Source organism: Homo sapiens, chromosome 9, assembly GCF_000001405.40.
Source record: "Homo sapiens chromosome 9, GRCh38.p14 Primary Assembly".
NCBI lineage: Eukaryota > Metazoa > Chordata > Mammalia > Primates > Hominidae > Homo > Homo sapiens.
The window spans coordinates 34,715,825-34,736,302 of record NC_000009.12 but is presented as its reverse complement, the minus strand read 5'-3'; the positions used below and the strand labels follow the sequence as shown (position 1 = coordinate 34,736,302).

Genomic DNA, 20,478 nt, shown 5'->3' with positions numbered 1-20,478 from the left:
TTGAAAAACCCCTGGCCATTATTTCTTCAAATATTTCTTCTGTTCCATCATCTTTCTTTTCTCCTGGGATGTCAGTTGCATATACGTGTGTTTGTTTAATATTGTGCCACAGCTCTTGGATGCTCTGTTCTGGTATTGTTTTGCTTTTTTCACTTTTTTCTTTCTGTTTCGTGTCGGATAATTTCTATGGAATTATCTTCAGGTTCACTTATTTTTTCCTCCACTGTGGAGGAAAAAAACTACTACTGGTGAGCCTGACAAAAGCAACCTTTATCTGTGTAACTATACTTACTATTTCCAGAATTTCCATTTTATTATTTCTTAGAGTTGCCATCTCTCTGATGAAATTACCCATCTGATCAGGAAGGCTGCCTACCATTTCCACTAGATCGTTTAACATATCAAACATAGTTCCTTAAGTTTCTCTTTCTGATAATTCCAATATATGTATCATATATCTAAGTCTGGTTATGTTAATTGCTTTGTCTCTCTTTTTTTTTTTTAGAGGGAGTCTCTTACTCTTTCACCCAGGCTGGAGTGCAATGGCACAATCTTGGCTCACTGCAACCTCCGCTACCCGGATTCAAGCGATTCTCCTGTCTCAGCCTCCTGAGTAGCTGGGATTACAGGCATCTGCCACCGCGCCCAGCTAATTTTTGTATTTTTGGTAGAGACAGGGTTTCACCATATTGGCCAGGCTGGTCTTGAACTCCTGACCTCATGATCCACCAGCCAAGGCCTCCCAAAGTGCCAGGATTACAGGCGTGAGCCACCGTGCCCGGCCTGCTTTGTCACTTTATAGTACGGTGATTTTCTCTTGCTTTTTCATATGCCTTGTAATAATATTTTGTTGAAAGCTGGATATCTGGGCCGGGTGCGGTGGCTCACGCTTGTAATTCCAGCACTTTGGGAGGCCGAGGTGGGCGAATCACAAAGTCAGGAGTTCAAGACCTGCCTGGCCAATATGGTGAAACCCCATCTCTACTAAAAATACAACAAATTAGCTGGGCATAGTGGCGGGCGCCTGTAATCCCAGCTACTTGGGAGGCTGAGGCAGGAGAATCGCTTGAACCCAGGAGGCGGAGGTTGCAGTGAGCTGAGATTGAACCATTGCACTCCAGCCCTGGCGACAAAGTGAGACTCCGTCTCAAAAAAAAAAAAAAAAAAAAGAAAAAAGAAAGCTGGACATCTATTGTAAGAGAGTAGACTGAGTTAAATCATTTTTATACCTGAAAATGATCACCCCTTTCCTTCTGCTAGGACTTTAGTATGGGAGATTGATTCAGTCTAGTCAGGAGCTGAGCTGTGTTTGGGTTTTGTTCTTGCTATGTTACTGTCAGTGCATAACAGGCTCCAGGTTTCTCTAATATTACTTTGTGTTTATGGTTGAGGCTGGTTTGCCAGAGGTTTGCTCAATGTCATCCTCCATGCTCTTGATGGTATTTCAGCAGTAGACTGCAGTTGTTACTTAATGCTTATTAGCCTGGTTGGTCAGGGTGGGGAGATTCTGTTTTTCTGATTCAGCTTCAGTTTTAGACAGGGGCTGTGCCCCTGAATCTCAGGACAGGGCCTTCTCCCTGATCCTATGCCACCCCCAGCTGGAATACTTCTGATGGTCTGGGGCCTACAAAGGTAGAGGAGGTCTGGGGCCTACAAAGGTAGAGGATTTTTTTCTTTTCCCTTTTTCCAGCTGCAATGGGTCTTCACCTATACGTGATTTATGGCCTCACGACAGGACTTACTGCTCTTCATCTAGCAACTTAAGGCTTTTGTTTCCATAGGGAAGAGAAGGGAGAAGAATCTGGGAAGGGCTTGGTGCCTTTCCCCTCAGCAGCTGCTCTTCCTTTTCCCCAGGCCTGTACCACGAGTGATATTTTTTCAGGACTCTCACACTACCCCCAGTCTTTCTTGTGAATACACACTAAGGTTCGTGGAAAGGACCCTGCAAGTGAGTGTGAATTCTCCCTGTACTTGTAAGTCCCAGCATTTCTGTATTCTCACGCTGGGCTACAGTTGGCCTTTAGCAATTCATTAAAACTTTTATCTGGATTCTTACAAGCTTGATGGGAGGGAAGTGGGGGAGTCGGCTCCAAATAAGCAAGTGCACCTGTGCTACATCTCCTTCAAGATGTCTTTCCTTAGATTAAGGTTAATTGAGTTGACCTAGAACTTCAGCTTGCTGACAAATTCAAGAAAAGTTGTGAATTTACAGTGTCTTGTGATTTCTTTTCTTCTTGTATGTGTGATTTCTTTTGTTGTAAGAGTGAAAGTAATGCTACTTCCAACTTTCCTTTCTAAGGAATCCAGAAGCCCGAGAAACCCTATTTTGTAGTTGAATCTCTGTTAGATGTACCTCAGTGTAATTCTTAACTAATACAGGTTCTAACTTCATTCATTTATCAAAAATAATGAAACCATGAGTACCTGAAGAATTGGAACTTTTTTATAACTTCAGGAAGAGAAAAACCTTTCTAAGTGTGACTTAAAACACAGAAGCCATGGCCGGGCACAGTAGTACATGCCTGTAATCACAGCAATTTGGAGGGCCGAGGCAGGAGGATTGCATGAGACTAGGGGTTCAAAACCATCCTGGACAACACAGGAGACCCCCATCTCTACAAAATAAAAATAAAAATTAGCCAGGTATGGTGGCACATGCCTGTGATCCCAGCTACTAGGGAGGCTGAGGTGGGAAGATCGCTTGAGCCCAAGAGATCAAGGTTGCAGTGAGCCATAATGGCACCACTGAAATCCAGCATCATGGCAACACAGTGAGACTCCGTCTCAAAAAAAAAAAAAGACCCACAGAAGCCATAAAATAAAAGACTAATAAATTCAACTACATAAAATCCAAAAATTTACATGTGGCAAAAACTCATTATAAATATCAAATGACAAACTGAGAAAAAGTATTTCTGATACATATATAATTTCTTAATATTAAAAAACACTTACATATCAATAAGTGATTTTTGCCCAATAATCTGTGAGCTAAGAATAGGAAGAGATATTTCACAGAAAAGAAGCAAAAAGGTGATTATCATACATTGAAACACATTTATAAATATATAAAATACAAATTTGCACTTCTCATATCGACAAAGATCAAAAATTTGATAATATTGAGTCAACAAGCATAGGAAGAGAGGCACCCTTACAGAGTTTTGGTGAGAGTGCAAATTCATACAATTGGTAGGCAATTATGCAATATCAACATTTAAAATACACACACCTTTTGACCCATTAATTCAACTCTTAGGAATTTCTCCTAGTTATATACTCATACCAGTGTACAAGAACTTATACACATGAGGTTCATGTCAGTGTTATTTGGTAGAACAAAAAAACTTTAAAGAAATATCCACGGATATAGGATTGAAAATAAGTCATGTTATAGTTTTACCAAAGAAGACTGTACAAACATTAAAGAAAATTATATACAGAAGATATATTCATAATAATTAAAACTAAAAGAAAAGGGAAAACAGTATCTAGCATGTTTCCATTTATGAAGAAAATATATCAATTTATTTATGCTTCCCATGCTAAATTAATTCTGAAAGATACAGGAGTATTGAGGAAACTCTCCAGGAAATTGATCTAGGGGCAAAGATTTCTTTGTGGAGCAATACCCGATAAGCACAGACAGCCAAAGCAGCAAAAGTGGACAAATGGGCTCACATCAAGTTAAAAAGCTTCTGCACAGCAAAGGAAACAATCAACAAAGTGAAGAGACAACCCCAGAATGGGAGAAAATATATTTACAAACTATTCATCTGGACAAGGGATTGATAACCAGAACATATAAGGAGCTCAAACAACTCATTAGAAAAAAAAATCTAATAATCCTATTGAAAAATGGACAAAAGATCTTTTGTCAAAAGAAGACATTTCTCAAAAGAAGATATACAAATTGCAAACAGGTCTCTGAAAAGGTGCTCAATGTCAGTGATCATCAGAGAAATGCAAATCAAAACTACACTGAGATATCATCTCACCCCAGTTAAAATGGCTTTTATCCAAAAGACAGGTAACAATGAATGCTGGCAAGGATGTGGAGAAAAAGAGAACCCTTGTACACTGATGGTGGGAATGTAAATTAGTACAGCTACTATGGAGACCAGTATGGAGGTTCCCCAAAAAAACTAAAAATAGGCTCACGCCTGTAACCCCAACACTTTAGGAGGCCGAGGTGGGAGGATCACCTGAGCCTACGAGTTCAAGACCAACACGGGCAATAAAGTGAGACCTCATCTCTACAAAAAAAAAAAAAAAAATCCAAAAATTAGCTAAGTGTGGTGGTGCATGTCTGTGGTCCCAGCTACCTGGGAGGCTGAGGCAGGAGGATTGCTTGAGTCCAGGAGGTTGAGGCTCCAGTGAGCCATGATCACGCCACTGCACTCCAGCCTGGGTAACAGAGCAAAAACCTGTCCAAAAAAAGAAAAAAAAACCTAAAAATACAACTACTATATGATCCAGCAATACCACTGCTAGGTATACAACCAATAACCAAAAGAAAGGAAATCAGTATATTGAAGAGATATCTGCACTCCTATATTTACACAATAGCCAAGATTTGGAAGCAAACTAAATGTCCATCAACAGATGAATGGATAAAGAAAATGTGGTACATATACACAATGGAGTGCTATTCAGCCATAAAAAAAGAATGAGGTCCCGTCATTTGCAACAACATGAATGGAACTGAAGAACATTATATTAAGTGAAATAAGCCAGGCATGGCAAAATAATTTTGCATGTTCTCACTCATTTGTGGGAGCTAAAAATTAAAACAATTGAACTCATGGAGATAGAGAATAGAATGATGGTTACCAGAGGCTGGGAAAGGTAGCGGGGTGAGGTGTGGGGGTTTGGGTGGGAGAAGGGCAGATGGTTAATGTATACAAAAAATATAATTAGATAGAATAAATAAGACCTAGTATTTGATAGCACAACAGGGTGGTTACAGTCAATAATAATTTATTGTACATTTTCAAATAACTAGAAGTATAATTGGAATGTTTGTAACACAAAGAAGCGATAAATGCTTGAGGTGATGGATACCCCATTTACCCTGATGTGATTATTATGCATTGTATGCCTGTATCAAAATATCTCACATACCCCATAAATATATACACCTACTATGTACCCATACAAAATAAAAATAAAACATTTTTTAAAAGAGAGATACACGAGGAAGAAAAATAGGAGGAGACAGGGATGAGAGACAGCTATACACTCTTCTGCCTTTTAAATTTTGTGCCATGTGTAAGTATGCTTACTTTAAAAAAAATAGTCTTAGGGATTGAAATAAAATAGATACAAAGGCCCTCCCTCCATCAAGAGGCCTCTATCCTGATCCTCCAATCTTTCTCACAATTGCTCTCCAGTCCACCCTTCTATATTCTGCTAGAGATACACTGCATTTGTTATTGCCAAATGAACTCCATGGCCCATTCCCTAGATTCAGCATGAGCTGGTAAGTTTTTCTCCCACCAGGAAGAGTCCTTTTACCCACAACCTGCACTGTTAAACTTAACTTCGACTACCCAGGAGCCCTCTCTGATGACCATGATCCTCACTATGATTTCTCTTCTCTGAAATGGAATGTTTGTGGCCAGAGCCTTACGAATGAGTATATAAGTCTATTTGTAGTGATTGTTGGCTCTTGCTTTGTATGAATTAGTCTTGTCTTTGAAACTACATTTTTAAGTATCTTGAAAGCAGAAAGCCAATGCGGCTCAAATGTCTTTGTATCCTCAACACTCCCCAGCTTAGGGCTGAGCACATATTGGGTGCTTACCACATCTGCTGGGTGGGCTGGATACTGAGGAAGGACCAAAGCCTCTTCAGAGATTTTCAGCCCAAAGGTTTCTTGGCCTGAGACCACCATTACCAGAGCAGAACTCTCTCAAGGAAATTCAGGAATACTGAGGTGTTGGTGGCATATCACAATATCTACAAAAGCTAGGCAGGTAAATCAATAGTCTGGCTATGGAAGTAATGGGTCCTGAAGCTGAATTGGAAAACACATGCCCTGCCTAAAAATTTACAAAATACAGATTTGAGAAAAATAAACAAACAAACAAAAAAAACATCCTCAGGCAAACAGCATACATCCAACCATGAACAGCAACTAGTCACTTGTGACCCACAGTCAGAAGCGGCCACTAACCCATCTCTGCAGGCATTCATCTCCCTGAGCATGAATGTGCCTCCATGGAAGGTAGCATTTACAGTCCCAACCCATCTGCAAGCTTGAGGCCACACAGACCAGATACGTACAACCACCTTGGCCTCTCCCTACCACCCTACCACATCAGCCATGGTCCCCTTCCTGCACCTCTGTTACCAATCACCCATTGCCTAAAACATCAAAGATCTCCATTTCCAAGCCATAACCAGACTCCGCCCTCCCTAAATTCATGTGTGTTTCTCAGGTATATTACCAAAACTAGTGGGAGAGTTAGTGGAGGTTCCTCCGGCCTATCTACCCCTTCTTATGAGGTGACCCCTGTGCCAAAGCACTCAGTTTTCTGAGGACAGGTGACCATACAGTTGTGAAGGAGAGAGCCGAGGCATCAGGCTGGTATAGGGAGTGGAAAGTGAAGACAGACTAGGAAATAGACACTGCTTGTGGCACCTTCAGTCCCAGGCTCAAAACACCCTCATCTACAGACTGAATCACCACATGAGCTTCCCTACTACATGTACCTTATGAAACAGGAGGGCTTTGTGATGCAGTCTGGTGGCCTAGTTCCGTCCTCTGTGAGGTGGACATGACAAGGCCTAGCACTGGGATTCATTAGGCACCAGAACCCTGAATTCCGAGATAGAGGGATGGTTGATCTCATGCTAATGAAGTTTAGACCATGTTGAGCCCTACTTTTGTTCTGTGGGAAGTTGGATATCCCTTATACATCTATGGCTCCATCTTCATCGTTATTGTAATTATCTGGCAAGTGAAAAGGAGCCACCATGAATTGAGTTCAGAACCTAAAAGGAGCTGCTGCCGGGTAGGGCTGTGATCCCAACTGAACTAATTAAGCCTCAGATAAGAAGCCTATAAGTTCTTACCGTGCTCCCTTATAATCCCCACCCCAGAATTTTTATAGCATACTTTCAGTTACCTTTGTGTAATACTTTTCTTCTCAGAGACTATAATTCCTTACCAGGCCCTTCCCGCAACATAGTCTGATTGAAAAGCCAAGAACCTCTCTATTTGGTTTGGATTGAGAACTAGATAATATGAAGTCTATCTTGCTGGATCTCGGAAGCTCTCTGAATATGGGGGATTTTTCCGGTTGGTGGGCTTTGTAAGCAGAAGTCCTTTGGTTGTTAGAACCATTTACCCTTTTGTCTGTTCTGCTTTTCCTCCTGTGTCATCCTCAGCATCCAGCAGGACTTCTCTGTGAATCAGATGGGAGGTATAGAATTTGGAAAAGCCTCCAAGTGAATCCAAAATAAGCAGAGAAGGAAAATGGGGTAAAAAGGTGGAATAGGCAAAGGAAGTCCAGGAGAGTGTATAAAATACAGATAGATATATACAAAGCGAGTGAAAAATGTATGTAAGTTTTGTCTCATTTTGGACATGAGAAAGAAAATGGTGTCCCAGCTTCACATTCTAATGTTTTTGTCTTCTAAGTGTCACCAAAAAGTCAGGCAAAGAGCTAGAGATGCAGCATCAACAGGTAAAGTCCCAATCTCTCCTCTGACTCCCTTCCACTGTGGGTGTTTCCCATGAATCCTGTCCCTCTGTGACCTCTGGAGCCAAGAGCCAGGTGCTCTGCCACTGAAGACTCCAGTTCCCCAGACTGAAATTTCCATGGGTGGGAAATCATAACTTGAGAATGTTCCAAAATCCTGTACCTCAATGCCCTGGAAATGAAGAATTAAGAAAGTAGAGCAGATGTTCTTAATTGTATAACTTACTAGTTTTATGACCCTGTGGAAGTCATTTCATCTCTCATTCTTATCCACAAAATGAGCAAAACACTGACAATCCTGCCTCAATCACATTGTGGTTGTAAAAATCAAATGAAATTAGATATGGGACATTGTGTTACAGCGATGCTGTACTCAGACATGCCTTAGAGTACGGACTTTTCAGGATTGTAGTCTTTTCTTGATGAGAGTCAAAGGCCTTACTATTCAGCTTCCTATAGGATGCCTATGAAATTATCCCATGCCATATAACACTGTCTCCCCGTTCCTCAGCTAGGAGACGTTCCCGGGAAGAAGCTGAGAAGCCACAGAAGCTGCTCTCCATCATTAAAAGGTGATCTATTGCTCTTTGCACTCTATCAACAACCAGCCTGGCCTATGATGATTTCTTGGCTTGGCCTGGGGCAGGACTAAGGAGAAAGATAATGGCTGGGAGGGAGACATACACAGTGGAAGCAGGGACACTGGGTGAGAGGGTTGCCAGGGAAGAGTGGGGTTCACATGTCTCAGGAGAGATGAGCTGCCCAGTTCAGTTCTGTGCTAGGGTAACAGCAGTTCTACAATTCAGGATTTTACTAGTGTATAATTCATAAAACATATTACATGGAGCTGCACTCAGCCATGAGATAAGTTACCCAGTTAAGAGAATGGGTTTTGAATAAAGAAGTCATCCTTGTCTTATTCTCTTTATACTCTTTCAAGGGAATAAAGCTATACCCTTTCAAGGGAAAATACCTGACTCTGGCTAGACTCTGCTGACATGACCTCCTCCGGTTCTGTCTTCAGTGAGGCCAGTACTTGGGACACTCCTTAGACAGGAGTCTATTATATTATCCTCTCCTTAAGAGCTCTAGAGAACAGGACTGGTTCCGAAGAGATGCTGGGTATAACATTACGGGTACCAAATACCCCAGAATGCAGAAGTCCCACAAGGACCTCATTTTCTACAGCTTGGAAGTACTGAATACAGGCTTTGGATTTCTTAGCCTCAAATAAGACTGGTCTGGGTTCTAACTGGTGATGTTCCTGGTGATGCCCCATCAGCTAACTGCCTAGCTCCATTCTCCTAGTTCAGCTTTTCAACAAGGTCAACAGAGAACTGACTCCAACTCCCAGCCCTCTCTGAGGGCCATGCCCTCCCATGGGTTGTCTGAGGCCTTGCCCAACAAGCTCCAGACCATCAGCCCAGCCCACCACACCTTGCCAAATGGCATTTTCTTAGCAAGGAAAGCAGACAGGTAGACAACAAGATGGTATAGGCCCCAGGGTTTTCAGGACTGGGAAAGGAGAGTGCCCACTCCAGCCCACACTCTTCCAAGAAGGCAGATGTCACTCCATCGTTAATTTTGCCGTGTTTCCCTTCCTAGCCAGGGCTGGCTTCCTCTGGAGAGAAGTGTGCGGCGAATCCTGTGTGCAGATCCCTGCTGCCAAATCTGCAATTCTGTGGCTCTGGAGATTCAGCAATTGCTGGTGGGTGAGAACAACCAGATCTCCCTGACTTTATCGGGGCCATTGCAGGGCTCCTCTTGCCTAGAGATGCTGTCTACGTCTAGTATGTCTTTAGATCAGAGTCTGGAGTTTCATTCCTGGCACACCAGAGAGCTTTCACTGTCATCTGTAACCCCAACACTGTCACAATTAACAGATCAGAAATCTTTAACCCAGTCAGCTGCCCAGTCAACGTATGCAGATGGCATACAAGATTACTGGGCTGATCACCTCCAGCTAGGGCAGGAATTTCAAGTGCCAGATGTGCTCCGGGGCCCAAACACCATAGCTTCTTCAAGGATTGAGAAGCCAAGGGCTCCACTGAACCAGGAGGAGATGACGCAGAGCAACCCCAGCCTTGTCCAGGGAAACCAAGGCCAGCATCACTTGAATTCCCAGGTCTCCTTGCTGTCCCTGAACCCAGAAACCCTGAACCGGATGCATCCAATGGCCTTGCATATGGTCCTCCCTGCCCACCTGCCATTTCTCAGTCCTGAAGTGCTGAGGCTTCTTGAGGTACATGTTAAAAAATGGATGCATTTCCAGAGGTGGGGGCTCCCAAGACGTGTGGAGGAGTCCCTGAGGCAGCTTATGCCAAACCCACCATTGTATTACCAACCTGGAAATGACCAGCCAGTTTCTTTCAACCTGAAGAATACTCCTCAGGTCTCTCTTCATAGATTTGAGACCATTTCCCTCCAGACCTGGTGTTCATGTGTGGCTGGCCAGCCCATCCAGACCTTCTGGGTTTCTGAATGGTCCACAATGAACCCAGAACAAAGACACCACTGTCAGCAAACTCCAAACCCTATGGCTCTAGCCTTGCCCTCTCCAGCCCTTAAAGCCCTAAGTGGCCCCCATCCACAGTCTGGGGGACAAGATAATGACTCAGGGAGTGATCTCCAGCAGAAATACAGCCAGCTATTCTGTGGGCTCCCTTCTCTGCACAGTGAGTCCCTGGTTGCCACTTTCATGGGATCTCAAGGCCTCCCCAAGATTGAAAATGTGCCCAAGCCCCCCTTGAAGGATCCTTTTCTCTTCAATGAGCTCTCCTTCCCCCAACTGCTCCCTAAAACTTCACCCCAGTCAGCCCCACCCTCTTCCCCACTTTCCCCAAACTGGATGTCTCCATCTGACCATCAACGAGCTCAGATCAATGTCCCATTTCTGACTCTGGCTGAGTATGAAGCCTTGGAGTGGCACCTGCTACAGAGGCAACTCCAGCTTCAGTGGGGCTGGCCAGCTGCCCTCCAGAGGTCTCAGCACACCCAGTGCCTCATGCAGCATGAGCCCTGTGGCAAAGCTCAGTCTCCTGAGACCACGACAGCTTCCCAGACAGGGAAGTCCATCTCAGTGCTCACCAGGGAACTACTCTTCTTCCCGGAGCATGCCCGGAAGCTGCTGGAATTCCACATCCAGAAACAGTTGATTCGCCATCGCTGGGGCCTGCCTCAGAAGATCCAGCAGTCCATCCAGTTGCTCCTTACCTCCACTGATCAGCAGACTGTGTCCAGCAGCAGCACAGCCCTAGCCAACGTGAGCATCCCCCAGCCTGTAGCCCTAGAGGCCAACGGGGCTTGCGATGTGCTGTCACCCATTGCGGCCCCAGTGTCCATCCCCAGGCCACACTTGTTAACTCAGGTCAAGGCAATACTGCAGAGCCACATCGACTCCAAATGTGGACAAATCCACCAGGGCAAGATCCCCGCCTGTGTACACAGGTCCTGGGACTGCAGAATTTCTGGGGTCCTGGCAGTGGCTCCTTTTCCCTGCATTCCAGAAAGCCAGTTCCTGGAACTGCAGACAGCAAGTGACCCGGACCTGCATCACAAAGTTATGCCCTGGATGCCAACGGCCCTTGATCAGCAGCAACAGGCTTTACCAGGTACTGTCACTGAACACCCTAAGCTGCTCCGAGTCTTGTCTGTGGAAGCCATTGAGAAACTGGAGACAACTTTACGGCACAAGCATCTGGCCTTCCTGTCGGGGCTGCCTGCTCTGTATTATGTGGCGCTCCCCAGGGCCCTGGCCCCGGCAGTCACTAGCCAATCTGTCATCACAGAGATGGAGCCTAGTCCCGTGGAAATCCCAGCAGAGCCTCTGATTCAGATGGTTTCATTTGAAGAACAGTGTATAAGTCTTGGGCCATGCCCTCAAGGCAACAATGAGAGTTGTACAGACGTTGCAAAAGAGTTCCAGCCTGCAGTGCCAGTAAAAGGAACAATGGAGACGCTGCCTCTAGAAAGCCAGACGCATCCTACTAGCCCCCACTCACTCCAGACACATATCTTGACCAAACTAAACTTCCACCTGAGAAAAAAGGTCCTAGAGATACAATGGGGAATTCCCATTAGGGCAAGGAAGTCCAGGGAACAAACTGTTGCAGCACCAGAGAACATATCCACACAGAAGTCTCTTGAAAGTCTAAACCACCAAGGGGAGACATTGCTCCAGGAACTGCCCATCCCACCAGACACTCTTCCTGCCCCTAATCCAGAAGGGGTTCACCTTAAAGAACAGCTGGCCAATGACTTGAAGGCAGTGCAGCAGAACCAAAAGCAATCCAATTCCAAAGCTGTACCCCAGGGTTCTGCCCACTCGGTCTCCAAGATCTCACAGCCCAGTGGGGACATGACAGAGGCCCACATGCCTTGTGTTCAGGTAGAGGCCAATGTGAACAAACCCAGCCTGGAGGAACCCTGTGGCCCTGAGCCTCAAAGCCCTAGCAAGAGCAAGGACCCAGCCCATGTCCCCATGCTAGCAGGAAACAGAGAGGACCCAGAGGAAACCAAAGCAGCCAGGGACCACAGAGAAGGGGATGCGGGGTTTGGGCGCTCCTCAACCAGAGAAGAGAGACGCCCTGCTGAAGACCAGAGGCCAGCAGGGATGCTTCCAAACAAGACACCCCGAGGGTCCTGGCGATGGAGCCGTAGCTTTCATCTTGCTGATCCCTGTCAACACAGCCCCCAGCATCACCCTCAGCTTAAGCTCCCACAGCTACCTCCACGAGTCCCTGGGGAGAAAGAGTCTGAGAAGGACCTGCAAGACAGTCAAACCAAGCTAACTGTCATCCTTGAACCAGCGACAATTCCTGAGAATGCCCAGACTGTGTTGCCCCAGGCTTCACAGGGTCAGCCTTTCCTGAGCCAACCAACTCAGGCTAAGCCTTTGCAGGGCCAAACTTTGCAAGGCCAAGTTTTGCATGGGCTGGTGATGCCAGTCCATGCTCAAAAGAAGCCCAGCCTTACAGAGTCTAGCTTCAGAAATAAAATTAAATGTTTTCTGCAGCATATTAACCCCAAGACAAAAGGCAAAGGGCATGAGGACTCCATGTTCTCAGCCGCTGCGAAGGTGGCCAAAACCAGAAAAGAAAATGTTGCAAAGAGCCTGGCTCCAGCCAAGAGCCCTGTGGGGAGAAGTAAGACGGAGAAGCCGACAGGGTGCTCCAAGGCCCAATCTCGTCCTGCTCAGAAGCTGGTGGGCCCAGCCTTCTTGGATGGTCCCCAATCCCTAGACGATAAGCTCCGGCTACACTCCAGACAACCTGGCTCTGCCTCAGCCCTGGGCTACCCCCGCCACTGCCCTCGTCACTGTCCTCGAGAGGCTTGTGCCAACAAACCAGGGCACCCAACCTAGCTCCTGACCCTCACCTCAGATAGAAACATTGGTCCGCTCAAGGAGAACATGCAGAGCCATGAAAAAGAGTTTATAGGCTCCCCAACTGCTGCAGCCCTCCAGAGGACCAGTATTGTCATTTCCATAAATGTGCAGGTGGGACAGATGCCACTAGAAATACACTCTATATTTCTCAGCAATACATTGTCTGTCTGCTCCTTGTCTCTGCTGTATTGTGTTAAGGGAAGGTGTGAGGGAGGCTAAAAAGTCCTTCCTGTCTAGGGAAGGAGCTTTAACTTACCTTTCAGATGGGTCACCATTCCACATCAAAGAAGAAAAGCTTTTATCTAGAGTGCACTGAAGTTAAAGGTCATGCTTGATTTCTGAACATTTACCATCCATCCCACCAGAATATTTTCCACTGTCCCATAACTCCAGGGCCTAGGAGAGTGGCTAATGCATAGTAAGACCTTACATTAGTTGAATCCAAAGTCAGGGCTGTGGAGACAGACAAAGCATTGATCATTTTAATGGGGCTATGAGGTGTGTGGTAGTGCCACAGGAGGAAGCAATCAGCTGGTGAGGAGGAACCCATAATAAAAATTACTTTGAGAAGCATCTTGTTTTCAACAATTAAATATCTGAGTGTTTATTACGTGCCAAGAACTATGCAAAACACATCAATGAACATGACACAGGCCTTGACCCAGTGGAGCTCATGATCCCATGGGGTCGACAGTCTATTACTCCCAAATTGTCCAGTCAAATTATAAACTTAGAAGTCCAATATTCATCTCAAACCATACAAAAATAAACGAACTGGTTTTCTACCCTTCACCACCACTCAGTCACACATACCAAACCCACTGTATTCATGATATTTCTCACTTCAGTGAATGGCAGCTCCATCTTTCCAGTTATTTAGGACAAAAACAATGGTGTTATCCTTGATTTTTTTCCTAACCCACAGTAAATCCTGTTCTCTCTACCTTCAAGCATGCATCGAGAAAATGCCCACTTCTCACCCTCTCTACTGCTACCATCACTCCAGTAGCATCATAACTAATCTCCCCATTTCATCCTGAGACTATTCAACCAACAGTTTATCCTCAACACAGAAGCCTGATGGTCCTCAGGGAGGGTCCTGGCTTCAGATAATACAGAGAGAGTGAGAAAGAAAAAACCATGCAACTGGATAACACACCAAACAACTAAGTGTAAATGGAGACATCTAAGGAGTAGGCCCTGAGACTCTTCTATGTTAAGAAACTGGAAAGTAAAGGAGGGACTAGTAAACAGAGGAAACTGACAAGCAGTGGCCAGTGAGATGGAAGGAAAACAAGATGAGTGTGGAATACTAGAAGCCAAACAAAAATGTTTTTCAAGGAGAGATCAACTGCATGAAAAGTTGCCAGTCAGCCAATTAAGATGAGGCGTGTTAGATTTAGCCACACAGAGATCATTGATGACCTTAACAGGAGCAGCCTCAGGTGAATGATGGAGATGAAGGTGTGACTGGAGTGGATTCCAGAGAGAGTGGACGGCTGGGCACAGTGGCTCACACCTGTAATCCTGGCACTTTGGGAGGCCGAGGCAGGTGGATCACCTGAGGTCAAGAGTTCGAGACCAGCCTGGCCAACATGGTGAAACTCTGTCTCTAGTAAAAATACAAAAATTATCTGGGCGTGGTGGTGCGCACCTGTAATCCCAGCTACTCAGGAGGCTGAGGAGAATCACTTGAACCCAGGAGGTGGAGGTTGCAGTGAGCCCAGACTGTGCCATTGCATTCCAGCCTGGGCGACAAGAGCAAAACTCCATCGAGAGAGAGAGAGAGAGAGAGAGAGAGAGAGAGAATGGAAAGACAGCAATTAGTGTTAGAAAGGGTAACATAAACTCCTCAAAGAGGTCTGTTCAAATAAAGATACAGAAATGTGAGGCATTAGAACCCAAAATGGCTTTTCAAAAAAGACTGGAGACATAGCATGGTGGATGTTAATGGAAAACATCCAGTGGAGATGGATAAATTAATGATGCAGGAGCTCAAGGGGAGAACTGCTGGAACAATGTTGTGGTTCAGAAGTGAAGGAATGGGAGCAAGTCCCCAAGTTGACAGTCTGGCTTTGGCTAAAAATACAGAACTTCACTGGTGGTAGAGAGAAGGTAGAGTTAATGAGGGAGGACTTCATGGATTAGAAGAAAGGATTCTTCCACATATAAGGGAGTGTGGGCAAAGACCCAGAGGGATGAGTGAGGACCTGGGAAGGGACCGTGTCTGTGGGAAGGGGGAACCGTATGGAGAACCAAAGCGGGAAAGCTGGAGGTGGAGAAAGATTCTGGAAGTTACCATGGAAAGTTTCTGTTAGGTCCCAAGCAGTTGGTTGTGAGTACATAGGTGGGTGAAAAGGTGATCAAAGCTGCTGCTGATATCTGTGCAGCAGGTGCTCTTGGAACACTGTACCAGCAGGAGAGCTCACAGAGAAAGCTCTAAATGCATGGAGACTGCGCAAGAGCATGAGGCTGGAGATGGAGAAACAGGGCAGAGATGGCATCCTAGTGCTCAGTGAGGTGAGGGACCAGGGAGGTTATATGGGTGGGATGAGAGGATTGGGAAGCAGGAAGACAAAGAAGCTGCCCTGAGAAGATGGAAGGGACATCGATTTTGGACAGCTATTATCCCTCAGGAGGTGGCACCTCTGCATTCCCCTTCTGACCTACCACAGAGGAGCCAAGAGCTGGAAAAAGGGCAGGAAGTGCTGTGACTTCTTTATGACATGTTTTTTGTTTTGTTTTGTTTTTTTTTTGAGACGGAGTCTCGCTCTGTCGCCCAGGCCGGACTGCGGGCTGCAGTGGCGCAATCTCGGCTCACTGCAAGCTCCGCTTCCCGGGTTCACGCCATTCTCCTGCCTCAGCCTCCCGAGTAGCTGGGACTACAGGCGCCCGCCACCGCACCCAGCTAATTTTTTGTATTTTTTAGTAGAGACGGGGTTTCACCTTGTTAGCCAGGATGGTCTCGATCTCCTGACCTCATGATCCACCCGCCTCGGCCTCCCAAAGCGCTGGGATTACAGGCGTGAGCCACCGCGCCTGGCCCTTTATGACATGTTTTGAGGGACAGTGGGATGCCCCTGGTTCCTACGGAAACCCAGGATCACTCACCATCTCATCACTAGGAGGAGGAGGTGGCAGGACTTGCTTCCTCTGATGGGACCCCAGCATTTAGCACAATGTGTCCACTGCTTGGATACAGAAGAGGCAGGATGGGAAGAAACATGGATATGTCCCTGCTCTGAATGCTGATTCTGTGCCTAAGGGATGGGGGCCCAGCCCATACATGGTCCCCAGGGCAGAGAGGCACAAGGCCCAAACCTGCTGAACCAACATTCAACAGATGTTTTCCTAAAGCATTCCCAAAGATCAAAGGAGGTATTGTGACAGGCACATCCTCCCTGCCTGGTGGGAGTGGGGCAGGCAGCCACACAGCTAGAACAGAGGGAGGCCCAGAATGAAGGGAATTGACTCAGGAGGGTCACAGCAGCATCAGGTAGGAAGCCAGGGGTTAGCGTGCATACATCCTGGTTTAGGGTGGAGCAGGTCCCTCCCATGGTTCCCTACAGGCTCCCACCTGCCTGAGGCCAGCATGGGCTCATGCTGCTAACTAAAGTCCCATGACAGAACTGGGGGCAAAGATGAGCTGGAACTGATACCTTCAGGATTCTGAGTTCTCAGCAAAGTTGAGAGCTAAGCAAAGTCAGGGTCAGAGCCTATGATTCATGCAGGATGCTGATGGCAGATGAAGCTTTGCTCATCCCATCCCATAACCCCAGCACAACCCCACCTTCTATCTTCCCCAGGGTGAAGAGAGGCAAGAAGCAAAATTCACATGTAGAGTACAAACTCAAGAAATTACTACTTCAGGCCAGGCGCTGTGGCTCCCGCCTATAATCCCAACACTTTGGAAGGCCGAGGCGGGTGGATCACTTGAGGTCAGAAGTTCAAGACCAATCTGGCCAACGTAGTGAAACCCCTGTCTCTATTAAAACTACAAAAATTAGCCGGGCATGGTAGTGTGCACCTGTAATCCCAGCTTCTCAGGAGGCTGAAGGAGGAAAATCACTTGAATCCAGGAGGCAGAAGTTGCAGTGACCCAAGATCAAGATCGTGCCACTGCACTCCAGCCTGGGTGACAGAGGCAGACTCCATCTCAAAAAAGAAAAAAGAAAATTTACTACTTCAGGTTTGGGGGTAGATGCTAGGAATACATCAGTGCTTGCTTGGGATCTTTGGGTTCACCTCTGGCACACTCAGGTAACATCATGTCATGGTGAATGGCCCCGACCTTCTAGAGCTCTTCTCTTGGGCTTTCCAGAAGGGCACTTCAGAATTGGCTGGAGGGAATTTCAGGAAACCGACCACCAGCAGTGGGAGGAGGGTGGCTTCTCCACAACATAACTTGTGTTCAACACTGAGTTGTTGAGGGCAGGGACCATGGCTGCTTCACTTCTGTACCTGCTCACTGCAGCCCAGGCAGGGAAGGCAAGGCACACAGGATGAACACAGGAATAGACTCCATGGAGACACTGCTTCCTGCACCATGTGGGAGGTGGCTGGGCCTCTGCTGCTTAACCAGCTAACCAGGGCTGAATACTCTACCTGGCCTCTGGAGCCCATGGTCTAGGCCAGGCCTACCATAGATGGAAGGGCCAGAATAGCCCCTGTGTCCTCTGCAGGGACAGAAGAGAAGAAAGGACTTCCTTGAGCTCAGGTGGGAATATGAGAGGTAAGCACAAAGCAGGCATGTAAAGTGCTTGGGGACACAAAGGACCAGATGCCTCACAGGGCTGACCAGTCTTGCAGAGGTCTGTGCATTCTCAGGCCCAGAAACAGTGAGGCCAGGACCCTGAGAGAGCATGGGGAGGGAGAGGGGGGCCTGGGAAGGGGCCAGTGAGATTCAGTTTCCAGAAGGAGGGGTGAGTGCTGCCAACTGCCCCCCTTTTCTGCCTTGTCCCTCTCCTCCACTATAAACACTCAGCTAGTGGCTAGGCAAGTAGCATATTAGGGGATTTCCAGAATGTGTCACTTCCAAGGTCAGGCCTGCTACAAAGGCCACAGGGGCAGGTCCCTGGGCAGGCAGACTGACCCATGGGAATCCAGACGGCGGGAAGGGAAGCCCTCCTTGCGGTAAATAGTACCAGCAGCTGGGGTATGTCAGGGGAGGTGGAAGATACAGTAAGGGGCCAGGGAAGAATCAAATACACACAGTCAAAGACACATGGACACAGACATCCCACCACACAGGTACATACAGAAAAAGACAAAAGTCAACCGTGCCACTCAGAAACTAGTTCAGAGTAAGGACAAACACGTCAAGGAAGACAAACTCACATGGACCCATGAACACCCTGCATCAGACATGCCTGAGCAGACACGGGCACAAACACACATGCAGACACAAAGACAGGTTTGCACACAGAACCCATCTAACAGACCCACAGATACAAATGCAGTCCAAATCCATCCTGCAAAGACCCTCTCCTCCATAAATCCTCTAGGCCACCTCAGACCAGGTTCATCTCTCCTTTAAATCCTGGTTTGTCGTTTCTGTCCTATTGCTTGTCCTTTAATAGGATAGCTTTGGTTTCACGTGCATACCCCTGGTCTCAACAATGTGGCTGTGTGCTCTTAAAGAATGTCAGGGTCAGGAAGAGAGTCCACTGCCCTCTTCAGCAGCCTCATCCTTCACCTACACACCCATCTCCCTGAGGGCCCCCAATTTACTGCTGGCTCCATCCTTGAAGGGTCCTGACTCTCAGACTCTTTGACATAGCAGACACAAGGGAAGAACAAACCAGGTAGACACACTTAGTCCACGTTATCCTCGGGAAACCATGAAGAACCAGGTCCTGGTTCCCCAGTTAGAAAACCCTTACACAAGACATGATCTCATATGTAGCTCTAGCCTAAACTTCATGTTAACCCACAATCCCAACCTTATTGACCACACCTCTAAACCCAACTCCAACCCCATTCCCAAAGAAAACTCTAAATCATAGTTTTTCAAATAAGACTCTGGGAACAACTGTACCCAGACAGATAATGCTGGTGGGTGTGATCCAAAAATGTTTACATGGCCAAATAAGTTTGAGATAGAAAACTGATCTGCCCTCTCCCCAGGAGCTGAATGCCTCCCTCCTCTAGCTGGATCATAGCTGCAGGGGCCACTCTGTGCCCCTCACCTGTGGAGGTCCTGGAAAACAGCCAACAACTTGTCATCTACATCAGATCAATACCACACGTTATGCAGAAGCGTAAGTCCCTCTCCAGACTAGCTTGAAAGCTTAAAACCAGGCCGGGTGCAGTGACTCACACCTGTAATCCCAGTACTTTGGAAGGCTGAGGTGGGCAGATCGCTTTGAGCTCAAGAGTTGGAGACCAGCCTGGGCAATATGGTGAAACCCCCTTTCTACAAAAAAAATGTACAAAAGTAAAATAAAATAAAACAGCTGGGCATGGTGGGTCACATCAGTAGTCCCAGCTACTCAGGAGGCTGAGGCTGGAGAATAGCTTGAGTCTGGGAAGCTGAGGTTGCTGTGAACTGAGATTGCACCACTGCACTCCAGCCTGGGTGACAAGAGTGAGACCCTGTCTCAACAAAACAAAACAAAACAAAACAAAACAAAACAAAACAAAGCAAAACAAAACAAACAAAAAAGGAGAGAGAGAAAACTTAAAAGCAACCTCCAACACAAAATTTATCTCCTTGGATTAAGATCATTTAGGATTTAGGTTAAGATCTCCTCACTCTTAATCCAAATCCTAAATGCAAGCAGTGCCCTACTCCAACCCTAACACAATCCTCATCTAAGATACGCCTGTTTCTATCAACAGGAACCGCAAACCCAATTCCAAATCCTACTTTAACATCACCATGATTCCAGCCCTATCCAATTTGGAACCACAACATCAATGCTGTTCTAAGCATAATCCTAACTCTAACCCTAACCCTTGGTAGAGCTACACATTGATGAATGCATGCAACTACACTAGACACACACATTTTGCACACTTATGACTCCGAGAAACTGAGTAGCTCCTTCAGTAACGGCTGCACAGTCCACAGGGCATCTTATTTCTAGAGGGCTCAATGCTCCGCTGAGAACCCAGGAGCAGCAACGCACCCAGGCCCTTTGACCTTTGTTGGATATACAGGCCCATGGGCCCCAGCCCACCCCAATCCTATTCCAGGACTTGCCTAGCCCTTGAGCTGAAATTCCCGCCATACCCCTCCCTGGCTCTTGCCTGCCAAGCTGGGAGCATCTGCTGCCCTGGAAACCCCACCAGGCAAGAGCAAACGGGCCTGAGACTGAAGGGAATGTGGCCCTTTCCAATTAGGGGATTTCCAGACTCTTGCAACACCCACACCTAGGATGT

The 20,478-nt window shown here is 46.5% G+C and overlaps 2 protein-coding genes across 3 annotated transcripts in view; one reads left to right on the top strand and one right to left on the bottom strand.

Moving 5' to 3' along the window:
• The window catches only part of PHF24 (PHD finger protein 24), a 316,938-nt gene that overhangs the window by 246,242 nt on the left and 50,218 nt on the right, over positions 1–20,478 (bottom strand). The window lies entirely within an intron of this gene.
• On the top strand, positions 6,815–13,250 carry SPATA31F1 (SPATA31 subfamily F member 1). Its single transcript, NM_001141917.2, has 4 exons — positions 6,815–7,019; positions 7,649–7,694; positions 8,221–8,281; positions 9,315–13,250. The coding sequence occupies exons 1-4, from the start codon at positions 6,876–6,878 to the stop codon at positions 13,069–13,071; spliced, it is 4,008 nt and encodes a 1,335-aa protein (NP_001135389.1). The 5' UTR covers positions 6,815–6,875; the 3' UTR covers positions 13,072–13,250.

What these genes read in the sequence shown, in the direction of transcription:
- SPATA31F1 (NM_001141917.2), top strand. Translation starts at nt 6,876, where the DNA reads ATGTTGAGCCCTACTTTTGTTCTGTGGGAAGTTGGATATCCCTTATAC. An exon ending in CTAAAAGGAGCTGCTGCCGG is followed by an intron (nt 7,020 to 7,648) that starts GTAGGGCTGTGA and finishes TTGTCTTCTAAG; the next exon opens with TGTCACCAAAAAGTCAGGCA. An exon ending in CTGCTCTCCATCATTAAAAG is followed by an intron (nt 8,282 to 9,314) that starts GTGATCTATTGC and finishes TTCCCTTCCTAG; the next exon opens with CCAGGGCTGGCTTCCTCTGG.